At 45.4% G+C, this 24054-nt stretch overlaps 1 protein-coding gene across 14 annotated transcripts in view, besides 1 other annotated feature; it reads left to right on the top strand.

The window, feature by feature from the left end:
* The window catches only part of SUSD4 (sushi domain containing 4), a 144405-nt gene extending 120867 nt beyond the window's left edge, over positions 1-23538 (top strand). For 8 of the 14 annotated variants that reach the window (XM_024447936.2, XM_017001583.2, XM_005273169.2 and 5 more), the window contains 4 exons: positions 14975-15172; positions 16631-16775; positions 20738-21120; positions 22149-23538. In XM_024447936.2, coding sequence (XP_024303704.1) covers positions 14975-15172; positions 16631-16775; positions 20738-21120; positions 22149-22177 — 755 coding nt within the window. In that variant the 3' untranslated portion in view covers positions 22178-23538. Of the gene's footprint in view, positions 1-9268; positions 9455-14974; positions 15173-16630; positions 16776-20737; positions 21121-22148 lie in introns of those variants that run through there. The other 6 variants (NM_017982.4, NM_001410929.1, NM_001437664.1 and 3 more) reach the window with 2 other exon arrangements.
* Positions 1049-1549: an enhancer, noted in NCBI's record as "H3K4me1 hESC enhancer chr1:223416162-223416662 (GRCh37/hg19 assembly coordinates)". NCBI's record gives its function as "activates a minimal SCP1, AML or CMV promoter by ChIP-STARR-seq in primed H9 embryonic stem cells {active_cell/tissue: H9 hESC(primed)}" and the evidence as "EXISTENCE:reporter gene assay evidence [ECO:0000049][PMID:30033119]".
* Positions 23539-24054: the final 516 nt, after the last annotated feature.

Here is a 24054-nt window from a genome sequence, read left to right as displayed (position 1 = left end):
TCAGTTTCTCCCACATAGGGTGCACATGGCAGCTGTTCTCTCTGGCCCATCTCCATTGCAGAGGAAGCAAGGTGGGCTGGCCTTTAGTTTTTTAAACCTTCTGACTCCTGGTTGTCTAATCCCCTGCTAGTACCAGCATATGCTTTGGATCTTACTGTGCATAAAAGAACATCTACCTCCTTTTGGTCCAGGTGCCTTCCAAACCCCGGTGGGAGATGTGGTGCCCGAGAGCTCCATCCCAACTCCTGTGTGTGTGAGATTGTGCTATTAATGTTTTTCTCAGCAGCTAGAGGAGAAGGCCTATCCAGCCACATAAATATCTATGCGTTTACTTATTTATCATCTGAGGATGGGACCAAGGTAGTATCAGTGGTTGTCCAAAAAATATTTGTTAAATAAGTGAATTTTAAAATGAGTGAAAGAACATAATTACTATACTTAGGTAACAGAATAAAGAGGCTCTTATTTCAGAAAGTCCAAAATGCAGATTGTCCAAACATAATAGTCTCCCTTATCTATGCTGGAGGAGGTGCCATAGTGCTGATAACGCAAAGCAGGAAGAGACGATGGAGGAATTCTTTCTTTCTTTCCACTTAGTGCATCAGGCTTGCTTTCTAGCTTCATTGTGCTTTGGGCAATAGGATTAGTTGCCCTTCCCTGAGCTCAGACAGTGCCGATGGGGGCCTGGATGTACCTAAAGACAGGCGGGAAGTGGTTTGAGATTTATTTGCCTGTAAGCAAATGAAAATGCTCCAGCCACATGCTGGTAGTGGAGACAGCATGGGCTTCTGCGGCTGACACCCCCAAATCACAAGGTGGCCTTTGCTGCCTGGCCCTGGGGGCCCTCTGAGCCACCCACCCTCAGTGCTGTGAACAGCATTCACCAAAAGGGGCAGGGAGTCACCTGCAGAAAAAAATCAGAGCTGGACAGATGGAAGGGTGACTTCAGTGGGAGAAGGTGGCTCTGAGTCCCCTGCCAGTGCGCAGGGAGGCTGGGTGACTGTGTCCCCAGGAAGCCCCATCTCTCCAAAGGATGGTGTAGTTCATCTCCCAGAAGAAGACAGCCAGGGTCATCCAGGGCAAGGCGGGCAGCCCAGCCCTGCTTCCTTAAACCCGTGGGGCAGATGTGCATCGCAGGCCTCCCTGGAGCGAGGCAGCTTCTGTCTCCCTGAGAAGGTCCTGTGGTGTCTCCATGTGGGAATGGCCACAGAGCTGGCTGATGTGCTCCAGGGAGGAGCCTGGAGCCTGGAGCCACAGGGCTCCCTGTGGCCACTGTCACCCGGCTGCCCATCATGGGGAGCATCTGGCCAGGGGGACACTTTTCCAGCTCACACGCTTAATTGGACCACACCATGGGATGAGGAGAGGATCTGCCTTCAGTCGCATCTCTAATGAGACAGAGAAGCAGCAGGGTAGACACTTTTGCCTAACCTACAAGTGGGACGTGAGGAATTTGGGGACTCAGACAACTGGCAGATGCTTTCTTTTCCCCACACTCTCCAGCGACTTCACCCTGTGGCAGGGCCAGAGTCATGGATCCCCATCCCAGAAAACAAACCAATATTGGTACCTGATGTGAGCCTCCCTTAGCAAGCCACTGGCCCAGGCCCTTAGCTCATACAGCCCTCACAACAGCTCTAGTGAGCGGGTATTATTTTCTTCATCGGACAGATGGGGAAACTGAGTGAGGGGAGTAACTAACATGCCTGTGGTTATTCAGCCAACGAGTAGCAGAGCTGGGCTTCAAACCCTGACTCATCTGCCTCCCAGTCACTATCAGGCATCCTGCCACGTGGACAGGGATGGGCCTGGGCCAGGGATGAAAGTGAGGGACAAGTAGAAATTCCAAGGGGTGATTCCAGGGACATTGGGAGCATGGCAAGGGTGGGGCAGTGGAGGAGTTGGGGTTGTTCCAATGGCTTGGAGATGCTGCTCTTATTTCTTGGACAGGCAGAGGTGTTGTTAAACCCCCACAGCATGCCAGACACCAGACTGTCCCACTCAAGAAATGAGTGCCTGGCCCAAATGCCACAACACTGGAGAGGCTCTGCAGGCAAAAACCCTTATGCTTACTTTTTCTGGGTTCATTGAGATGCTGCATAATATTAAGAAAGAAGTCTAATTTTGGCTGGGTTCAGTGGTTCATGCCTGTAATCCCAGCACTTTGGGAGGCCAAGGTGGGTGGATCTCTTGAGCCTAGGAGTTCAAGACCAGCCTGAGCATCATGGTGAAACCCTGTCTCTACAAAAAAATACAAAAATTAGCTGGGCATAATGATGTGTGCTTGTAATCCCAGCTACTTGGGAGGCTGAGGTCAGAGGATCACTTGAGCCCAGGAGGTTGAGGCTGCAGTGAGCCATGATCATGCCAGTGCATTCCAGCCTGGGTGACAGAGCAAGACCCTGTCTCATACATACATACATACTCTAATTATTACTAGCTTCCCAGGCCACCGTAAAGGGGAGGTGGTAGGATTGTCTTCCCCAAGAAGACTAAGGAACAAATTTCCAGGACTCTGAAAGGCACTCCTTTCTTTGATAGTGGATGGCAGTCACTTCTCGATTGCTGCTCAGACACAGAGCAGCCAGGCAAGCACTTAGCTCCTAAGTCAGAGATTGGCTGAGGCCCCGTCCGGAGAGGACTGCTTGTCCACAACCATCGCTGGTCTAAAAACTTCAGTAACCCCTTGAAAAGCCTTTGGGGGGACTTTCAGTTTCTGGTTCTGCGTGTAAGGAGTTCGGAAGTCACCAATCTGTCCTAACAATGAGTAAAAAACTGAACAGACTGAAAAATCAAGAACTCTTCAGGGATCCATAAGAGAAGTAAGGTCACAGGGCAAACTGCTGCTCTCAATATAGAGAGACAGAAAAGTAAAGAGAGTCACGGCTTACCTGAGTGGAGATACACAGGTGGAAACCACCAAGGGAAACAAGACAGGGGTTGGGGAAGGTGTAAGAGAACCTGACTGTAATTGATGAATTGCTGCAGCCTCAGTGTGGCCAACTGTAGAGGTAAAAGCTCTAGGGGCACCCAGTCATGGGGGGCCTCCATACTTTTGTGAGTTTTGCCTCCAGAAGCTCTACCAGGTTCTCACAGGAAACATTTTTCTCACATAAAAATCCCCTTGTGCTTCTGGCAGGGGGAGGAGAATGAGCCATTTTGAATTATGCTGGAGCAGTCCGTCCTTAACATGGTCTGTCCCCCAGGGAAACTTGCTAACCACAGCCAAAACTGCTGGGGTATTATCAGAGCCCAACTGACTCGGAGGAAGGGAAGCACCCAACTCCTGCCCCCTCTAGCCATCCTGTACCACCTAAGAGAGTGAAGGGAAACAAAACAAAGCTGAGAAGCACTTGTGAAGCTCACAGTGCAGAGGCTCAGGCTCACTAAAAGACTGAGACCCACTCTTAGGGCTACAGAGTGCTTCTCCTTCCCCTGCGTGGCACCACAACATTACCAAAAGCCTCCTTACAGCAGTTCCCTTTACCTGGTACACCTTGTCCAGTTATCAAGAAGAAACTACAAGAGATATTAAAAGGCAAAAAACACAAATTTGAAGATACAGAGAAAGCATCAGAAGCAGACATGACAGGAATGTTGGGGTTCACAAACGGTGGATTTAAAACAACTATGATTAATATGCTAAGGGCTCTAATGGAGGAAATATTCAGCATGCACAAAAAAATGGGCAATGTAAGCAGAAAGATGGAAATCCTAAGAAAGAGCCAAAAAGAAATGCTAGATATCAAAAACACTGTGATGGAAACAAAGAATGCCTTTGATGGGCTTATTAGTAGACTGGACATGGCTGAGTAAAGAATCTCTGAGCTTGAGGAAATGTTAGTAGAATCCTCCCAAACTGAAAAGCAAACAGAACAAAGACTGAAAAAAAAACCCAGAATATCCGAGGACTGTGGGACAACTACAAAAGGTGAAACATATGTGTAATGGAGATACCAGAAAGAGAGAAAGAAAAGAAAGAAATAGGTGAAAAAATAATGACTGAGAATTTCCTCAAATTGATGTCAGACACCAAACCACAGATCCAGGAAGCTCGGAAAACCAGACAGGATACATGCAAAACAAACAGAAAACAAAAAAACTAAAACAACTGCAACCAGAAATATCATTTTCAAATTACAGAAAAATCAAAAATAAAAAAATTCTGAAAGAAGCCAAGGAAAAACACCTTACTTACAGAGGAACAAAGATAAGAATTATATCTGACTTCTTCTCAGAAACCATGCAAGCAAGAAAAGAGAGGAATGAAACATTTAAAGTGTTGAGAGAAAAAAACCCAACCAACCTAGAATTCTGTACCCCACAAAAATTAACGTTCAGAAGCGAAGGAGAAAGGAAGATTTTCTTGGGCAAACAAAAATGTGGAAAGTTTGTTGCCAGTAGGCCTTGCAAGAAATGTTAAAAGAAGTTCTTTAGAGATAAAGAAAGTAATATAGGTCAGAAAGTTGGGTCTACATAAAGAAAGGAAGAACACTGAAGAAGGAATGAGTGAAGGTAAAATTAAAACTTTTATTTTTCTTATTCTTGATTGATCTAGTGGATAACAGTTTATTCAAAATAATAATATCAAAACAATAGTAATGTACTTGATCACATATACTTAGGTATATTACACACACACACACACACAGACGCTTATATATAAGTGAGATGAATGACAGCAATGGTACAAGGGATGAAAAAGAGGAAAAATTAGTATCATTTTGTAATTATAAGGTACTCATACTACCTGTGAAGTGGCATTGTGATATTTGAAAGTGGACTTGGATTCATTGTAAATGTTAATTGCAAACTCTAAGGCAACCACTAAAATAAGTTAAAAAAGAAATATAGCTGATATGCTAAGACAGGAGAGAAAATGTAATCAGATAAAATGCTCAATTAAAACCAAAAAGAAATGCTGGAAGTGGATGAAAAAGTGGAAGATAACAATAGCAACAAAGAACAAAGGCACCAAACAAAAAACGATAACACATATGGTAGATAACTCAACTATATCAATAACCACTTTGAATGTCAGTGGTCTAAATGCACCGATTAAAAGACAGAGATGGTCAGAGTAGATTTTTAAAAATGATTCAACTATCTGTTTTTTACAAGAAACCCATTTGAAATGTGAAGACAAATTAATATAAATAAAAGAAAGTATATGGAAAAAAATGTACCCTGCTAACAGTAATGAAAAGAAAGGAAGAGTAACAACTGTGTATTTATTCCAGACAGAACAGACTTTATAGCAAGGAAAGTTATCAATGATAAAGAAGAGCATTACATAGAAACAAAGGGGTCAATTCCCCAAGAATACCTAACAGTCCTTAATGTGTATGCATTTAACAGAACATCAAACTACATGAGGCAAAACCTGATAGAACTGCAGGGAGAAATAGATAAATCCACTATTATAGATAGAGATTAACACACCTTTATTGGAAATGGACATATCCAGCAGGCAGAAAATCAGTGAGGACATAACTGATTTCAACACCATCAATCATCAAACAATAATTGACATACATAGACTACTTCATTTAACAACAGCAGAAAACACATTCTTCTAAGTCCATATGGAACACTCACCAAAATAGTCCACTCCACATTCTGAGCATAAAACACACCTTAACAAATTTAAAAGAATGGAAATAATACAGTGTCTGCTTGTAGATCACAGTATAATTAAACAGAAATCAACACCAGAAAGATAATAGGAAAATCTCAAAATGCAGACAATGTACTTCTAAATAACATGAGTCAAAGAAGAAATCTCTGGAAAAATTTTAAAAATATTTTTAACTAAATGAAATGAAAACACAACTTGTCAACATTTGTGGGGTGCAGTGAAAGCAGTGCCTAGATGAAAATTTCTAGCATTGAGTGCATCTGTTAGAAAAGAAGAAAGATCTAAAATCAATAATCTAACTTTTCACCTTAGGAAACTAGTAAAAGAAGAGCAAATTAGATACAAAGTAAGCAGAAGAAAAGAAATAAGAATTAGAGCAGGAATCAATGAAGTTGAAAATAGGAACTCAATAGAGACAATCAACAAAGTCAAAAGCTGATTATTTGAAAAGATTAATAAAATCAATAAACCTCTAACCAGGCTAACTAAGCAAAAAGAGAAAGAACATAAATTGCTAATATCAGAAATGAAAGAGTGGACATCACTACAGATCCCATGGACATTAGGAGGATAATAAAGGAATGCTCTGAACAACTGTATGCTCACATATTTGATAACCTAGATGAAATGGAGCAAGTCCTTGAAAGACACAATCTGCCAAAACTCACACAAGAAGAAATAGACCATCTGAATAGGCCTATATCTATTTTAAAATTTGAATCAATAATTAATAACTTTTCCAAACAGAAAGCACTAGGCCCAGATGTATTTGCTGGTGAATTCTACCAAACATATAAGGAAGACATTATACCAATTATCTATAATCTCTTTTGGAGGATAGAAGCAGAAGGAATACTTCCTGACTCATTTTGTGAGGCCAGCATTACTCTAATACCAAAACCAGACAAAGACATTGCAAGAAAAGAAAATCGCAGATCAATATCTTTCATGAACATAGATGCAAAAATCCTCAACAGAATACTAGCAAATCCAATCCAATAAAGTGTTAAAAAATTATACACCATGACCAAGTGGAATTTATCCCAGATATGCCAGGCTGGTTCAGCATTTAAAAATCAATTAATGCAATTCATCACAACAACTGACTAAAAAAGAAAAATCATTTCAATATATGCAGAAAAGGCATTTGACAAAATCCCACACCAATTTATGATTTAAAAAAAAACTCCCAGTAAACTAGAAATAAAGGGCAACATCCTCAACCGTATAAAGAATATCTACAAAAAAGCTATAGCTAACATCACGCTTAATGAAGAGAAACTAGAAGTTTTCCCGTAAGATCAGGGACAAGGCAAGGATGTTCTTTCTCATCACTCCGTTTCAGCATCATACTGGAAGTTCTAGTTAATGCAATAAGGCAAGAAAAGGAAATAAAAGATATATAGATTGGAAAGAAAGAAATAAAACTATCTTTTTCACAGGGGACATGATCATCTATGTAAGAAATCCAAAATAATTGACCAAAAAACCCTCCTAGAACTAATAAGCAATTATAGCAAGGTTGCAGGATACAAGGTTAGTATACAAAGATCAATCACATTCCTATATACTAGCAATGAACAAGTGGAATTTGAAGTTAAAAACACAATACGATTTACATTAGCTGCCCCTAAAATGGAATGCTTAGACACAAATCTAACAAAATATGTACAAGATCTATATGAGGAAATCTACAAAACTCTTATGAAAGAAATCAAAGAACTAAATAAATGGAGAGATAGTCCATATTCATGGATAGGAAGACTCAATATTGTCCAGATGTTCGTTCTTCCCAACTTGCTCTATAGATTCAATGTAGTCTTAATCAAAATTCCAGCAAGTTATTTTTTGATATTATTAAACTAATTCTAAAGTTTATATGGGGAAGCAAAAAACTGAGAATAGCCAACACAATATTGAAGGAGAACAAAGTGGGAGGACTGACATTGCCTGACCTCAAGACTTATCATAATGCTACAGTAATCAAGACAGCATGGTATTAGTGAAATAATTGACAAATAGATCAATGGAACACAATAGAGAGCCTAGAAATAGACTTACGTAAATATAGTCAACTGATATTTGGCACAGGATCAAAGGCAATATAATGGAACAAAGACAGACTTTTCAACAAATAATGCTGGAACTATTGGGCATCCACATACAAAAACAAAAAAAAAAAAAGCTAGACACAGACCTTACACTCTTCCATAAAATTAACTCAAAATAGATCGTATACCTAAATGTAAAATGCAAAACTGTGAAACTCTTAGAGTATAACATGGAAGAAAATCCAGATGACCTGTGTATGGCGATGTCTTTTTAGATACACCAGTGGCATGATGCATGAAGGAAATAATTGATAAGTTGGACTTCATTAAAATTAACAACTTCTGTTCTGCAAAAGACAATGTTAACAGAATGAGAAGACAAGCCACACACTTGTAGAAAATATTTGCAAAAGGCACATCTGATAAAGGACTGTTATCCAAAATATTCAAAGAACTATTAAAAGTCTACAACAAGAACACAAACAACCTGATTTTAAAATGTTCCAAAGACCTTAACACCATCAAAGATATACAGATGGCAAACAAGCATATGAAAAGATGCTTCAAGTCATATGTCATCAGGAAATGCAAATTAAAACAAGAGAGATCACTACTTACCTATTAAAATGACCAAAATCTGGAACACTTACAAACCGAAATGCTGAAGAGGATGTGGAGCAACAGGAACTCTCATTTGTTGCTGGCAGGAATGCAAAGGGATATAACCACTTTGGAAGACAGTTTGATGGCTTCTTACAAAACTAAATGTATTCTTACATGATCCAGCAATCCTTCTCCTTGGTATTTACCCAAAGAAACTGAAAACTTATGTCCACACCAAAACCTGCACACAAATGTTATAGCAGATTTATTCATAATTGCCAAAACTTAGAAGCAACCAAGATGTCCTTCAGTAGGTGAATGGATAAATAAACTATGGTACATCCAGACAATGGAATATTATTTAACACTAAAAATAAATTAACCTTCAAACCATGAAAAGATATGAAGAAACTTCAAATGCATATTACTAAATGAAAGATACCAATCTCAAAGGGCTATATACTGTCCTATTCCAACTATATGACATTTTGGAAAAGGCAAAACTATGACGACAGCAAAACGATCAGTGATTGTTGGGGGTTTGGGGGTGGGTGGGGCAATGAACAGGCAGAGCACAGAGGATTTGGGGGGGCAATGAAACTACCCTGCATGATAACTTGAATGGTGGATACATGTCACTACACATTTATCCAAACCCATAGAATGTACAACACCAAGAGTGAACCCTAATGTAAACTCGACTCTGAGTGATAATGATGTATCAATGTAGGTTCATCAGCAGTAACAAATGCACCACTCTGGTGGGGATGTGAATAATGGGGGAGGCTGTGCATGCGTGGGAGCAGGGAGTATACGGGAACTTCCTGTACCTTCTGCTCAATATTGCTGTGAACCTAAAACTGCTCTTAAAAATAAAGTCTTTATTTTTTTTAGAAAGAAAAGGGCTTTAGGTTTTTTTTTTCAATCAAGAGAAATAGTCTTCTTATGTTTTCATATTTACACTTCTTTTTTTCAGGAGGAAGACCTGAACATCTTTTCCCTGTCCTTTATTTCCCACACATCAGGTTGGCAGCTGCTGTGCTTTATTTTTGCCCTGTGTTAAAGTCCTCTCCCACCCCAGCACCTACCTGTTCCTCAACTAGCACCACCACATCTCTGTTCTAAATGTTGTTCTCCTGCAATAAAGGACGTTTGAATTAAACATTCCATTTTTATCCTATACTGTATTTCACCATGATCTGCACACCTGTTAGTGCATCAAGGGAAGAACCAACTGGCATTGTTTTGAAGGTGTTAGAAACGTTGGCCTCTTTATTTTAGTGTGTATCTCAGAGGTGGGACTGGCAAAGCTCTATTTCACGTCACTAAGACATCCCTAAAATGGACACAAATCCTGGTGTGTGGTGTCCGTCGGGTGAAGCCATGAGGCTATGATAAAACTATTATCATGTCTCACCTTTTTTCCCCCACTGAAAAATGAGACCAGACACAGCATGAATATTGCAGCTCATTGCCAACAGGAGAGAAGTGGACAGGGAACCACCTCTGGTTTATTGTGAAAACTTTGACATTTCCATTCACTCAAATAGCAAATGTTTATCAAGAATCATGCTGGATGCTACAGGAGTTAGAAAAACTCTAGAGACACGGCCCCTGCTCTCAAAGAGTTTATGAATCTGTACAAGTATTAGGCATGTAAAATGCACAAAGTGCCCAGGAACTCCAAGATCACTGCCTGTGCACTCAGGGAAGGCTTCCCAAAGAGGCTGGTGTTTGTGTTGGAATTAAATCTGCATAGGAGGAAATAGCCAGAGGGAGGGTGAGGAAAAGACACTAAATTGAAAGGAGGCTGGAAAATGAGGGAAGGCTTATTTGGGGAAATTGCAGTCTTATAGCAGCCCCATCCAGCCCAGCTCAGGCCATTCTTGGCCAACACAGGGAAGACTTCAGGTCCCATGCCTCAGCACCCTATCCTTTGGTCCCGCCTCCCCACATGTAGCCCACCTCTGGGAAGTTCCACAAGAGACTAAGTATGGTAAAAACTGGACTCTGCTGCCTTTTGGGTAGGTAGGAATTTTCCAGCTAGTCTGAAAAGAGCCGTAACCCTCTGTCATGAAACAAGGAACAGAGACTTCACACCTCGGGGACAGGAATCATCCGTTTCTGGCTGAGTGTCAGCAGAGCCTTTCTTGGATTCTGCCTATAACCACTGAATGTCCAGACTCCCAAGCCTCACAAAAGCCCTGTTGCTAATAATGTCTAAAGTAAGAAACATTAAGAAAAATGGAGTTGCAGAAGGATCTTTGTTCATGCCACCCACAGGTTTTCCCTGGGTGTGTTTCCCTTAGAACTAGCAACTGACGGGATATGAGTCACAGGCTGAGCCTAAAGGAGTTCTAAGATAAGAACAGAAAAAAGTGCCATAGCCCGGTCCACTTTTACTCACCGGAATTTCTAGGAACACACAGGTTATTTCAAACGCCAACCATGTGGCCGTTGTTCATGGGGCTGTTTGCCATGTGTCTGAGGCCTCTGGGTGTGGGAGTGTGTCCATCCGTCTGTCTGTCTGTCTGTGTGGAACTGTCTGTCTGTTAGGGAAGGTGTAGAGAGGAGACAGTAGCAGTACTCAGTCGAGCCTCATAGTGAGAGGCAGTGTTGGGTGAGAGGTGGAAGTCCCCTAAGCCATGGGTATTTTTATATTGGGATTTTTAAATAAGCCTCCCTAAGTTTATAATTAATAATACTTTTGTTGTTGTTTCCTTCCAAGTTAAAAGAAACGCTCCCACCCCCTACCCTCACCACACCACATGGGGTTTCCTTTACAGCAAAGCTAATGGTCTGCCAGGTGCAATCATTACAAACACTACAAGGTGTGAAGATAATTGTTTCTACTTAAGGGGAAAATGCATCTCCATTACCAGCCGATTATGACAGTCTCAGAGTTAAGGCCTCTACAATGGATGGTTTTTATCTGGCCTCTGAGAAAATGTGGTGATGAGATGTGTTCACATTCTCTGAATGTTTGGGGCTTCCCTGGTGCAATCCCAGGTATCCTAATTGCATAAGGAGCCTGGTAGTGCCCCAGTACGGGAAGGGCAGCATGGGAACCCCAGCAAGTTTGGACACCAGTGATACTAATAGCTATTATTTATTAAGTGCCTACTGTGTCCCTGACCTTTGTGTTATGCAGTTTTCATACATCTTCAAATCCTCTCAACAACTGGAGGAGTTGGGAATTGTTTCACTCATTAGACAGATGGGAAAGCTAAGACCCTGAGAAGTCAAACAAGCTGCCTAACACCCTGAAGCTCATCAGTGGTAGAGCTGAGGTTTGAACACAAATTTGGGTAACTCCACAGCCCACGGCCCTATATGCCACTCCGTGCTGCCTGCCTTTGCTCATTAAATGATTGATTAAATGGTTGATCTGTATGGTACAGAAATTCTTGAGCACACCATGGGACCATTTGCCTCGGGGTGAATGCAATGATTTGAACAGTCGTTCATCTTTCAGGCCCAGTGAGAAAAAAATGCTGCTGATAACAAACTTGCATACATTTATGTGGGCTCTTTCATGACATTTTCTGTGCTTTGAAAAGAGTTTTGGTAATTTTCTAATCCTACAGTGGCCCTCAGGGGCTTGTTTAGAGAGCCTTTGAGGAGAAGTGCCTTCCTGCTCTGTGTACCTCTTTTTCTCTTTCATAAAAATGTTAGATATTTAAGGTGTACAACATGATGTTTTGAGATACATCTACACAGTGAAATGACTATTACAGTCAAGTAAGTTAACATAATCCATTTCCTGAAATCTACTCTCTTAGTGAATTTCCAGTGTATAATACAGTATTATTAACTGGAGTCTGGATACTATACATCAGAGCTCTGGGCTTCGTCCTATGGAACTGCACCCTTTTACCCTTTGACCTACATCTTCTGATTCCCTCTACCTCCCCAACCCTGGTAACCACTGTTCTGCTCCCTGGTTTTATGTATTCAACTTCTTTAGATTTCACATATAAGTGAAATCATGCAGTATCTTGTCTTTCTGTGCCTGGTTTATTTCACTTAGCAGAACGTCCTCCACGTTTCTCCATTGTGTCCTAAATGGCAGGATTTCCTTCCTTTTTAAGGCTGAATAATATTCTGTGGTGTATATTGCCTATATTTTCTTTATCCATTCATCTGTCAATGGACACTTGCCATACCCTTGACCACAGAAAGGGGCTCCTGTCCCAGAGAAGATGCCGGCCTCCTGAGCGTACAACAGCGCTGGGGAATGCTCCAGCAGTGCAGGGAAGGGGGCCCCCAGGCAGTCCCGGGGCCACTGGAGACCCCTTCCTTGTGGGAAGAACCAGGAATTGAGTAGAGGAGAAGCAGCACGGAGGAGGGCCTCCAAGGAGAGAAGAGCCCTTACGGCCACATCCCTGGATCTCCCAGGACCAGTTCAACAACGTGGCCAGTGCCTTTTTCTCTCTCCCTGTTCCTCATCAGCTGTCCTTCCCTTTGCTTCCTTCTGCTTTATTTCCTGGAGATGCTCCCAGAGCACCCTGGTGGTAGCAAACTTGAAAAGAGCCCCTGTTTGTGGAAATGCAAGGGGTTGTGTGACTGCATTTGCCAGCCCAGGAGAGACCCTGAGGCAGAGCAGCAGAAAGCTCCTGGGCCTCAGAGTCAGAGCTCAAAGCCTGTCTCTGCCAGTGTCCACCTGTGGGATGCTCACAGCAGCCACCTGACAGCCACCATTTACTGAGCACACCTGGGCCTGCCAGCCTCAGATCTGCCCTGGACCTTCCCTGCACTGCACCAGATCTAGACAGGCTGTCCACCGCAGACCCTGTTTCCCAGACCCCCTTGTCACCTGGCTCCCCACTGGCTTTGTCCAGAGGGAGCCTGGAGGGTGGGCAGGTGGAGAACCAGGCTACTTCTCCCTCACTGTTCCTGCCCTGGGGACATCTCCAGCGGGGTCTGAGTTTCCCCGGGCTCCAGTTCCCGCGGGATAGACCTCCATGGTTCCACCTTCCACTAGGGACCCCAGCAACGAGACCCCTTCATCCCACCAGCCCAGGAGCGGTAGTGGCTTCCTGCTCTCACTAATCTTGGGGTGTTCCTGCTGGCTTCTCCACTTTGCCATCACCTCGTTAAATTCCATCTCTTTAGATACTCAAGTCCTGGTTTTCCCTGAATAATCACAGTTTGTCAGCTCTGAACTAAGCCCTCACCAGCATTTCTCGAGATAGCCCTCAGAGACTCTTGTTGTACAGCTGAGGACCCTGAAGCTCAAAGATGCACAGGGATTGGTTTAGGGTGACTCGGCTGGTGAGTAGTTCAGCCGGAATTCAGACCTAGGCCTGTCTAGAGCATACCTGGGCTTCTACTCACTCCTCTAGTTGCTTCTGTGAGTTTCCGTTTCCCCTTCTCTGAAAGAACCAACAAGATCTACACTACAGTGTTGTTTGAAGGACTAGAGAGTGCCTGTAGTGTGCCTCCAACCCTGCTTCACACGCATCGGGACACCTCCGGCAGGGTGGCCTGCTCTGCAGGGAGGGCCATCTTGTTTTCCAAGTGGCACCCACTGCTGCCAGTGAGTAGTTTCAGTGGCCAGTGTGGAGAGGGCACCTCTTCTGGCCTGTATGGTGGGCAGTGCCTGTTCTGCACTGGCCAGGGTGTTTGGTTACCCCAAGGGAGGGAATCAAAAGTTAACTCTTTTTCGTTTAGGTTTTTTTTTTTTTGGTCAGAATTCTTACTGGTTTCTGTGAGTGTGGGTTTGAAGTTGGCACTGATAGAATCTGTGGTTTGACTGTTTCTTGAAGAATGTTTAAGCAGCAGCACTGTTTATTTCTGAGTCCTCATCCAAGAATGAGCTCCTTGTGGCATAAAAAGCACCGAACTCCCACTGAAGCCGTCTTTGTGGTGACAGAGATGGAACCGTCCTTACCTCGCAACCTAGAATGCAGTACCAAGATACTAAAGACACTAAAAACAACTTTTTCTTCCCCTAACATGATGGGATATTCGAGTCAGAACCCTAAGGCGTCCTCCTAGGGTAGAATAAGCTTCCATTTGACAGAGGAGAAAAATCAAGGCTCAAAGAGGTTAAGGGATCTGCTTAAGGTCACACAGTGTGGTGTTGGTGGCAGAACCAAGCCTCATGCCCAAGGCACCTAACTCTGGTTGCCCTGGAGGCTGTGCCCTGGCTCTGCAAGCAGAGCTAGAAGAACTGCTCCATGTTCGTCATTGGCTAAGCCTCAGCAGAGCTGTAGGGGATCAGGTTAGGGACACTGCCCTGTGATTTTAATAGACCCAAATTACTACTGTGGTCACAGAAACAGGCTTGGGATAACTATGCCTTTCAGTAAAGATTTTGTACAGAAATATGTTAATTTTATTTACTAGGTTGTCTGGCACATAATAGCATGCATTATTAATACAGTAGCTTAATACTCTCTATTAAATAGGCATACTCTTTGCATTGTAAAACGAACCTCTCTTTTACGATGTACTTCACAATGCCATGTCACAACGGCACGTGCTCAGAATATTACAGCAGGCTTCCATTCCGCCTTCCATGAAATACTAAAAAAGAGACCATCTCTAATGCAACTCAGTAGCCTGGTGATTAATCCATAAGCACATTTTTAACTGAGTTCTCCTAGGCCATTCTTCGTCTTAGGGGCTTCAGACAAAGGTGAGCTTGTGGTTCTGAAACTTTTATTCTCCCCTACTGCCCAAGTCTGTCCACTACCTCCAATGGTGAGTCACGGAGATTTCGTCTGCCACCCGCGGCCTTGTGAGCGCTACAACCACGGAACTGTGGTGGAGTTTTACTGCGATCCTGGCTACAGCCTCACCAGCGACTACAAGTACATCACCTGCCAGTATGGAGAGTGGTTTCCTTCTTATCAAGTCTACTGCATCAAATCAGGTAAGACTGAAGGCCTCACCCTTGGAGGAGATGGACCCTCCTTGGACCATCTGCACATAGTGGGTGGTGGTTATGTACCAAGCTGTATCTCTCCTCCCCCACCCAGTGTCAGGAACAGGATATCGAAACATATCATTGCGGGTCGATGGGGCTGCTGTTGGGCTCTGTGCCAGATGCTTGTAGGTCCTGTTCAGACAGTCAAGAGTATTAACTGTCTGCTGGAGGTCCTTCCATGGATGCTAGGGGCCTAGGGACCCTATTCAGAGGGTCAGGAGTATTAACCTGTCCATTCCCAGGTTAAAAAGCTGACCATCTAAACAGGGTCCCTAGACCCCTAGCATCCATGGAAAGACCTCCAGCCTCCACACTCTTTTTTCTCCCAGCCTTGTCCTTTTCCACTGGTAAGGACACAGGCCTGTGGGTGTGACCAGAATTAGATGCATTGCCCTGGACCCAAGCAACGCATAACTTTACCTTTCTCTTCCACTCAAGGACACATATCAGAATACAGATGATACTGTGGGTAACACCTGCTCTCACTTGTAAAACTATAGGCCATTTGCAAGCTTCAGGGCTTCATAGTTAAAAGCAAATGACTTAATTGCAAACCACCTTCCCCACTGGCCTCAGTGCACCTGGGTAGTGACCACAGGATAGAGACTGGGGCACCAGCACACACCCACTGTCTCCTTCCCACTCTCTCCAGCCCTTTCCAGGCTGGGGATGCTGCCCTGAGCAGTGCTGATGACTGCATGCCTTTCCCCTGGACACAAGGAAGCACTTGTTAATGCCAGGTCTCTGGAGGCGCACACATGATCCTGTGAGCCAGCCGGGGGAGAAGTGCAAAGAGAGTGTCTAAGAGGGTGGTCATGACAAGGCAGAGAGACATTTAAGAGACAGGGTGGCCTGTGCCCAAAGGATAAGTCTCTTCTGGAAAGGTCTGCTCTTGCTGCCCCTGACCTGGCAGGCAGTTGATGGCTAGAGGTGGTAGGGCATGAGAGCTGTGGAACAGGGGTCCCCTTTACCCTCTGTTTCTTGCTTTACCCAACCCCACAGCATATCCCAGAACATTCACAAAGGGCCCAGCTTCCCACTCCCCCACCCCTTGGTCCATTTCGGAGCAACTTCTCCAGGCAAGAGAGATGCCCACCTCTGTTCTCAAGAGGCAGATGCATTATTTAAGCCTGTGCCAGGCCTGCGCCTGGGACTGGAATGTGAGCATGCAGGTCTGCAACCTGGCAGAGCCCATGCTGGAGACAGGTTTTTAGTGTTGGGTGGATCCTGATGCAATTTACATGAGCTACAGGGGCACATGGTATCTCTGCCGAGCCCTGGGGGTCAGAGGCACCTTGCACGCATCTCTTGTGCCAGATGAATCCAGCAAATGAGCCCACGGGGAACCTCGGCACCTCTCATGGTCTGGGAGCCTCACGTACAGCTTTGTTCTCCCTCATGCAGAGCAAACGTGGCCCAGCACCCATGAGACCCTCCTGACCACGTGGAAGATTGTGGCGTTCACGGCAACCAGTGTGCTGCTGGTGCTGCTGCTCGTCATCCTGGCCAGGATGTTCCAGACCAAGTTCAAGGCCCACTTTCCCCCCAGGTCAGTGTCATGTCTTGGCAGCTGTGGCTCAAGGTCTGACTCAATGCAGCTACCCTTAGCAGCAGAGGGAGAAAGTGATGAGTGAAAAGTTGAAGCTCTAAAGGGAAACAGGGGAGAGCAAAAACAATGTTCTGGGATGTTTTGAGCACAAAGCTGGAGACAGACCTCATTTTCCTCTTTCTTTCTTTCCTACCTCTCTCCCTCCTTCCTGCAGTAGACCATTTGCAGGTGGGCATCATGGGGGGCTAGCGATGGGATCACAGAGTTAGGGCTACAGGCTGTGGACTGCTCCACCCAGAGGCACCATTCCCACTGTGGTCCCCCTGCATGTGGCCCTGGAGTGAAGCACCACACAGCTCAGTCTATAGGGAGGGTAAGATGCGCACACAGCTGACTGGGACACAGGTCAGAGGTGTGTGAACAAAAGTGTTATGCATTGAGAAGCCTCAGGAAGGAGAAAAGACTTTTCTGATTCCAGGAGCAATCAGGAAAGGGCTAGTGAGAGTCTACCATGAAGTCTTATCTGAACCCCTGGAGTGGGACATGTGGAAGGCGCTTCTACATCCTTCTGAGCTGCACCAATCAGCTCGGGTTGGTATCTTCAGCCTCAAGTCATCACCACCAAAGAGGACTGCACCAGCACCCTTAGGAACAAAGAAGAGCCACCCAGCACTACTGCTGGCAAATCATTGTTCCTGGAGGGAGAAGTAGTTTAGACAGCAAAAGGATAAGTTTATGAACATTGAGAAGAAGAGGTGAGGACAGCAAAACACCACAGAACACTAGCCAGGGGCCATTGGTACAAGCTGTCTTTTCCTTGCCTTCTGTGGCCATGTCAGAGTCTTCTCATTTCAGAACCTAATGCTTCAGAAAAGGGCATTTGTTTTTTGCCCACAGGGACAGCCTAGTCCCCAGAGTCATATGTACCTGAAAAAGGGACTATTGCTCATGGAGGAGGAGGCTCCTGGAATTAACCACTTCTCTCTTCCCTTCAGGAAAATGCAGTGTGTTGCTCACATCTCCCAGCTGTGAGAGGAGTGAAGGAAATGGGCAGAGCTGCTGGAGACAGCACCTACCCGCCTTTGCCCTTAACCTCACACCTCACAGGGCGGCCTCCCTCACTTAGCAATTCTCCCCTGCCTGGCAGCAGGGACCCGCTATGGTCACAACCTGATAGGTGCATCCCTCTTTCCCCAGCCACAAATGTGTGCTAGATGTGGGTGTCACCTGCATCCCTCCCCAGGCCCAGAGGTGTGTCAGTGCCATCCTGGTGCCATAGCAAGCTCTTGCTAAGATGCTGAAACCTTCCTTCCTCTCCAACCTGCCATCCACTCTCTGTCTTCCACATTATTATATATTCATCAAGGGACCATGTTCTATCATTGAGCAATTACAGTATCTCAAGAAGGCCTAAGGATTACAAAGAGAAAGCCAACCCACAAGGCTGTGATTGATAGTGCGTTCAAGTACTTTAAAAGAGCCCACAGAGCTATTTTTCTACATATGCTTGGAAGAAAAGTTTCCAGGATATCCACTAAATATTAAGATGTTTTTAAAATGTTCTTGAAACCCTTTCATTTGATGTTCTTCAGCCCTTGAGTCTTTCATCTTATATTATTCTTGAGTTGTTTTGGGAAGGTTGGCTTCAAATACATGACATGAATCCAAATGCATGACAAGAATCTCAAGGGCAAACCAAGAATGGACTTTTTTTCTCCAGGTTCCACAAGAGTAGAGCCTGCAGGGATGTTGACGAGGGGTGTATGGGAGCTGAGTGGCATGGCGGGGACACGTGGAGGGGAAGCTGCCAGATCTTGGGAGCTGTATCCTGGGTGTGGACTGTTAGGGTGAGAAATGGAGAAGAGAGGCGTCTGCTCACCCTGGCCTAGACAACATGGAGGTGCCAGGGATGGTGAGGAGGCAGGGAGTCCTGAGTGAGAAGAGGAGGCCAGCACAAGACAGTGAAGTGGCCGGAGAGGAAGGGAGCATCATTGTCAAGGAAGCAGTAACTACTGGTAAGCAGTAACTACTGGTGGCTGTGGAGGGAGAGCAGTCTGGCTCGGAGCAAGCTCCTCCTTTCCTCCTGCCTCTTGTCTTCTGCCCCCTGAAGAGCATGGTCTTGGTGGTCTCCCGCCCTCTCTGGGCAGTCTTTAAGAGCTGCGGGACAAGGAGTCCACCACCATAATCTCCAAGCCTTTGCAAGATGTTTCAAAAAGTCAGTGGACTTGAGCTTTAGAGAGACGCACAGCCTGTGCTTCCCCTCCACCCCCAGACGTTTCATCTTCTTGGGTTTAGAGCCCCTGCCGCCAGCACTCAGAGATTCAGGGTCTGCCCACCCAGCTGGGTCTTCTCTTCCTCATATTTTACCTTTGGCCTCCTCCCTCAGCACCAGTTCCCAGCAGAGACAATAAGAAACCAAGTTCCGGCCGGGCACAGTGGCTCACGTCTGTAATCCCAGCACTCTAGGAGTCTGAGGCAGGTGGATCACCTGAGGTCAGGAGTTCAAGACCAGCCTGGCCAACATGGTGAAACCTTGTCTCTCCTAAAAATACAAAAATTAGCTGGGGGTGGTGGTGCATGCCTGTAATCCCAGCTACTCGGGAGGCTGAGGCAGGAGAATCGCATGAGCCTGGGAGGCGGAGGTTTCAGTGAGCCAAGATCGTGCCACTGTACTCCAGCCTGAGTGACAGAGTGAGACTCTATCTCAAAAAAAAAAAAAAAAAAAAAAAAAGGAAGAAACCAAGTTCTATTGGCTACTTATTAGCCACCCTGGGTTCCTCTTGAGGCCAGGAGCAGAGTATGGGGGTCACACGGAGCCCAGGCTGTGATGTCAGACGCCCCGGGCTCCAATCAGGCAGTGTTGAATGTGCAGAGGGCTGAGAAGCAAAGGGAGCAGGCCAGGAACTGTGTGCGCGCCCACGTGAGGGAGCCCTGCAGACATGCAGACTCACTTTGCCGCCGCTCCTGGAGCCCTCACACCAGCAACCCGGGCCTTGCTTAGAAGAGTGGCGGGGGGTCAGGAGGTGGCGGTGAGCCTGCGTAGCTTGAACGGGGTAGTGACATAGTGCTCACAGCTTTCCTTTTTTTTCCTTCTTTCCTTTTTCTTTTTCTTTTTTTAAATCTAGACTAAAATGTAATGATTTTTATACTGAATGCAGAAAACAACAAAGAAACATGATGAGCATAGGGCCAGCTAGTCCCTCTGGGCACTGAGGGTCCACAGTTACTGTTTTTTGTTTGTTTGTTTGTTTGTTTATGAGACAACATCTCGCTCTGTTACCCAGGCTGGAGTGCAGTGGTGCGATCATGGCTCACTGCAGCCTCAAACTCCTGGGCTCCAGGGATCCTCCTGCCTCAGCCTCTTGAATAGCTAGGGCTACAGGCACGTGCCACCACATGTGGCTAACATTTTTATTTTTTGTATAGGCAGGGTTTCACTATGTTGCCCAGGCTGGTCTCAAACTCCTGGGCTCAAGCAAAACCTCCCAAAGTGCTGGGATTGCAGGTGTGAGCCACCACACCTGACCTATTTTCTGTACTTTTAACAGTGCTATCCCACTTTCAATCCCATCCTACAGGACACTTCAGAGGTGCACTGGGCTGCTCTGTTAGAAAGGGTTATGTTGTCCCTTGCTCCATGAGCTTATGGCCAGAAGGCCAAAGCCCACAGGTCAAAGGAGCAAGGGAAAAAGCATGAGGAGATAGTAAGGCCCAGAGGCAGGAGGACACGAGAGAGTGACAAAAAGAAAACCTCCTCTCTCCGGAGCATGGGCAGCCGGGATGGCAGCATCATCTTCCAGAGGAGTCCCTGAAAGGAGGCTGGTTCTTCCATATTATCCTCCATACGGGACTCTGCTGCCCATCGTGGGTCCTGAGGACCCCGAGTGCAGGAGGGAGTATGGGTGGCCTCATCCCCAGAGTGGCATGGCTCTCACATGTTGGCACTTCTTTCCTTTACACAGGGGGCCTCCCCGGAGTTCCAGCAGTGACCCTGACTTTGTGGTGGTAGACGGCGTGCCCGTCATGCTCCCGTCCTATGACGAAGCTGTGAGTGGCGGCTTGAGTGCCTTAGGCCCCGGGTACATGGCCTCTGTGGGCCAGGGCTGCCCCTTACCCGTGGACGACCAGAGCCCCCCAGCATACCCCGGCTCAGGGGACACGGACACAGGCCCAGGGGAGTCAGAAACCTGTGACAGCGTCTCAGGCTCTTCTGAGCTGCTCCAAAGTCTGTATTCACCTCCCAGGTGCCAAGAGAGCACCCACCCTGCTTCGGACAACCCTGACATAATTGCCAGCACGGCAGAGGAGGTGGCATCCACCAGCCCAGGCATCGACATTGCAGATGGTAAGTGCTTGCCCCAGGGCCCAAGCCACACCTGCAAACACCTCCGCACCAGCATCTTCAAGCCAGCTCCTTGCTACGCACGCTCCACCCCCCAGCACAGAGTCGAATCAATCTGTTTACCTCTCACTCAGCTTAAATTGCTTCATGCTCTCTCTCCATGTAGAGGCCTTGGGCAAGGCCAATTATTGTAGGGAATGATCATCATCTTGCAAGTAATGAGCCCATTAATGGAAATTTCAAGAGGCACCAAAAGGCATCGAGCCATCCAGAGTAGAAAGGCAGCAGTGGCCGGTGCTTCATTTTTGTGGTGTCTGTATGATCTGGAATGTATTTCTTCTTTATTCCTTAATTAGATAGGACTCCTGGAAGTGGGGCTTAGGGACAGGATGGCACATACATGCCAGGAAGAAGGATCCAGAGGCACGCACTAGGGCCCAGCAGTGTGTTCTAGCCCCAGAGTTCTGTGTACATAGAAGTTATTTTTACCAGATGTGAAGTAAAAGATGCATGTGTACCTGTCACAAGGAAGGGTAGATTCATGGTAAAATAAGGAAAATGTGTCAGATTGATTAGGTCTCTGTTTCCTACAGAAGGGGAGCCCCAGTGCCACTTTGCAAATGAGAGCACTAATTTGGCTTATATTGAGAGTAAATGGCAGTAATGACGTGGAAACAGAGGTCTCCTGGGCCACCACAGTGTTCCTTTTCTGCAAACCACGCTGCCTTTCTGTACTTGAATTTGCAACTTTCTGGCTTGTGTGACCATTAAGGCCTATGGTTAAAATGTAACATTTTATTTTTTATGAACTGGAAATAAGATCATAATTGTTTCCTGGCAAAGAACAATTGTTACAGAAAGATGTTGTATAGGAGGTTGATTTATTTGGTTATTAACTGGTATGTGGAACTTAACATTTTCTTCTCCTCACTGATTTGAGAAACTGTAGATATTTTAATGAGGCATATAATTCCAGATCGTCATGGTGTTTTCTGGTTATGTTAAGCTAATAACCGTCTCTTCTTTTACAGAGATTCCTCTAATGGAAGAAGATCCCTAATATGGGTCAAGATCCAGATGACTCTCCTGCTCCTTCGGGGAAAGGACCTTGTATCTTGGAGTGAGGTCACAGAAGGATAGAGCCTGGGGGCAAAATGTCTAACTTGTCTACATGGGGACCACAGTTCACATTATGCATCTCAGGCTCCACAGTGAGGCTGACAAACTGCAATGGCAGTGCTTTTAAATGAGATTTGAGGATTCACCAAGACCCATGGGGAACCGGGGCAGCAGGGAAGCCCTCGCGTGGTCTTGGATGAGGGGTGTTAAATGTGTATCGTGCTGTGGAACATGGGACAATTCCACGCACATCCCACCGAATCATCACGCATCCCATTGACTGGCAAGTACTCCCCGCCCCCTCTGAAAGCATGTCACATCATGTAAATTTGCTTCTAACATCTGCTTCAAACTGTCTCTGGACTCCAAATTTGGATGGGTCAGCCTCTGCAGAAAGTTTGTGTTGAGATGCTGGAAGAACAGCAGAGCCTCCTGCACCCTCAGCAAGGGACCAGCTCCCAAAGGAAAGGTCCTTGTGTGACATTTGGAGAATCTTCCTTCATCCAGACAACTCTACTCGAAGCAAGACGAAAGCAGGATGTGGCAGTTGCAGTGAGAAAGGAAAGGAAAGATGGGCAGACTCTGCTTTCTGGAAATTTCTTCACAAAGTAGAGCTCATGAACTCTGTGCTGTCTTCTGGTAACATATCATCAGTGTTTGTATTCATGGTGTGGCACATGGATCCATGGCATTGGGTAAATCTGGTGGTTTTTACACATGGTCAGAATGTGTTCAAATACATCTCATGATGGAGACAGTAACCAAGGTAATGTTTTGTTTCAGCATTTTAAAAAGACTCCACTTAACATTTATCTCAGAATCATGAGCCTCTCTCTAGTTGACAATTGTCATTGTTCCCCCAGCCCCAAATTGAACCATACATTTATTTTCCAAAACAGAAATTGTTTCTGTAAACATATCCGACCTTCAAAAGAAGTGTGAGGTTGGATTTTTCCCCCTTTTATTTGTCCTAAGATTCCAGGAGGCTGGCCTCCCAGCCCAGATAGCTCAGCCACCTCACCTGCCTATCATTCCTGCATTCCTACTTTGAGGGTCTCATCATGCCCACTGGGTGTTGTTCCTAAGAAACTGATTGATTAAAAAATTTCCCAAAGTGTCCTGAAGTGTCTCTTCAAATACATGTTGATCTGTGGAGTTGATTCCTTTCCTTCTCTTGGTTTTAGACAAATGTAAACAAAGCTCTGATCCTTAAAATTGCTATGCTGATAGAGTGGTGAGGGCTGGAAGCTTGATCAAGTCCTGTTTCTTCTTGACACAGACTGATTAAAAATTAAAAGAAAATGACAGTTTGAAGCGTGACTTTAATAGTGCAGTAGAGTCGGGTGGGCAGGAGTGGGGTGGTGACAGTGATCATGGATGATGGGATTCAATGTAAGATTAAGAACAAGAGATGGAAGGAGATAACACACAGGCAATGCTCACCTTCTAAATGGAGGTTGTCTCAGAGACCACTGGGCAAGTGCCTCATTTTCTACTAGGCAGTTCAGAAGAGGCATGAGGGGCTATCTCTGATATTCTCCCCTACAAAGTAGACAGCAGCAACATCAAGCTGCCTGACTGGCAGACCAAGTACAGGGTTGCCTCTCCAGCCCGCAGCACTTGTGAAGACAGGTAGCACAGTGTCTTAGTCCACTTGTGTTGCTATATAGAATATCTGAGACTGGGTAATGCATAAAGAAAAAAGGTGTATCTGGCTCACAGCTCTGCAGGCTGTACAGGAAGCATGGCACCAGCATCTGCTTCTGACGAGGGCTTTAGGGTGTTTCCACTCATTGCAGAAAGGGAAAAGAGAGCCGG

The sequence above is a fragment of the Homo sapiens genome, chromosome 1 (genome assembly GCF_000001405.40).
Source record: "Homo sapiens chromosome 1, GRCh38.p14 Primary Assembly".
NCBI lineage: Eukaryota > Metazoa > Chordata > Mammalia > Primates > Hominidae > Homo > Homo sapiens.
The sequence above is the reverse complement of the archived record's forward strand: the minus strand, read 5'-3'. Positions and strand labels throughout refer to the sequence as shown.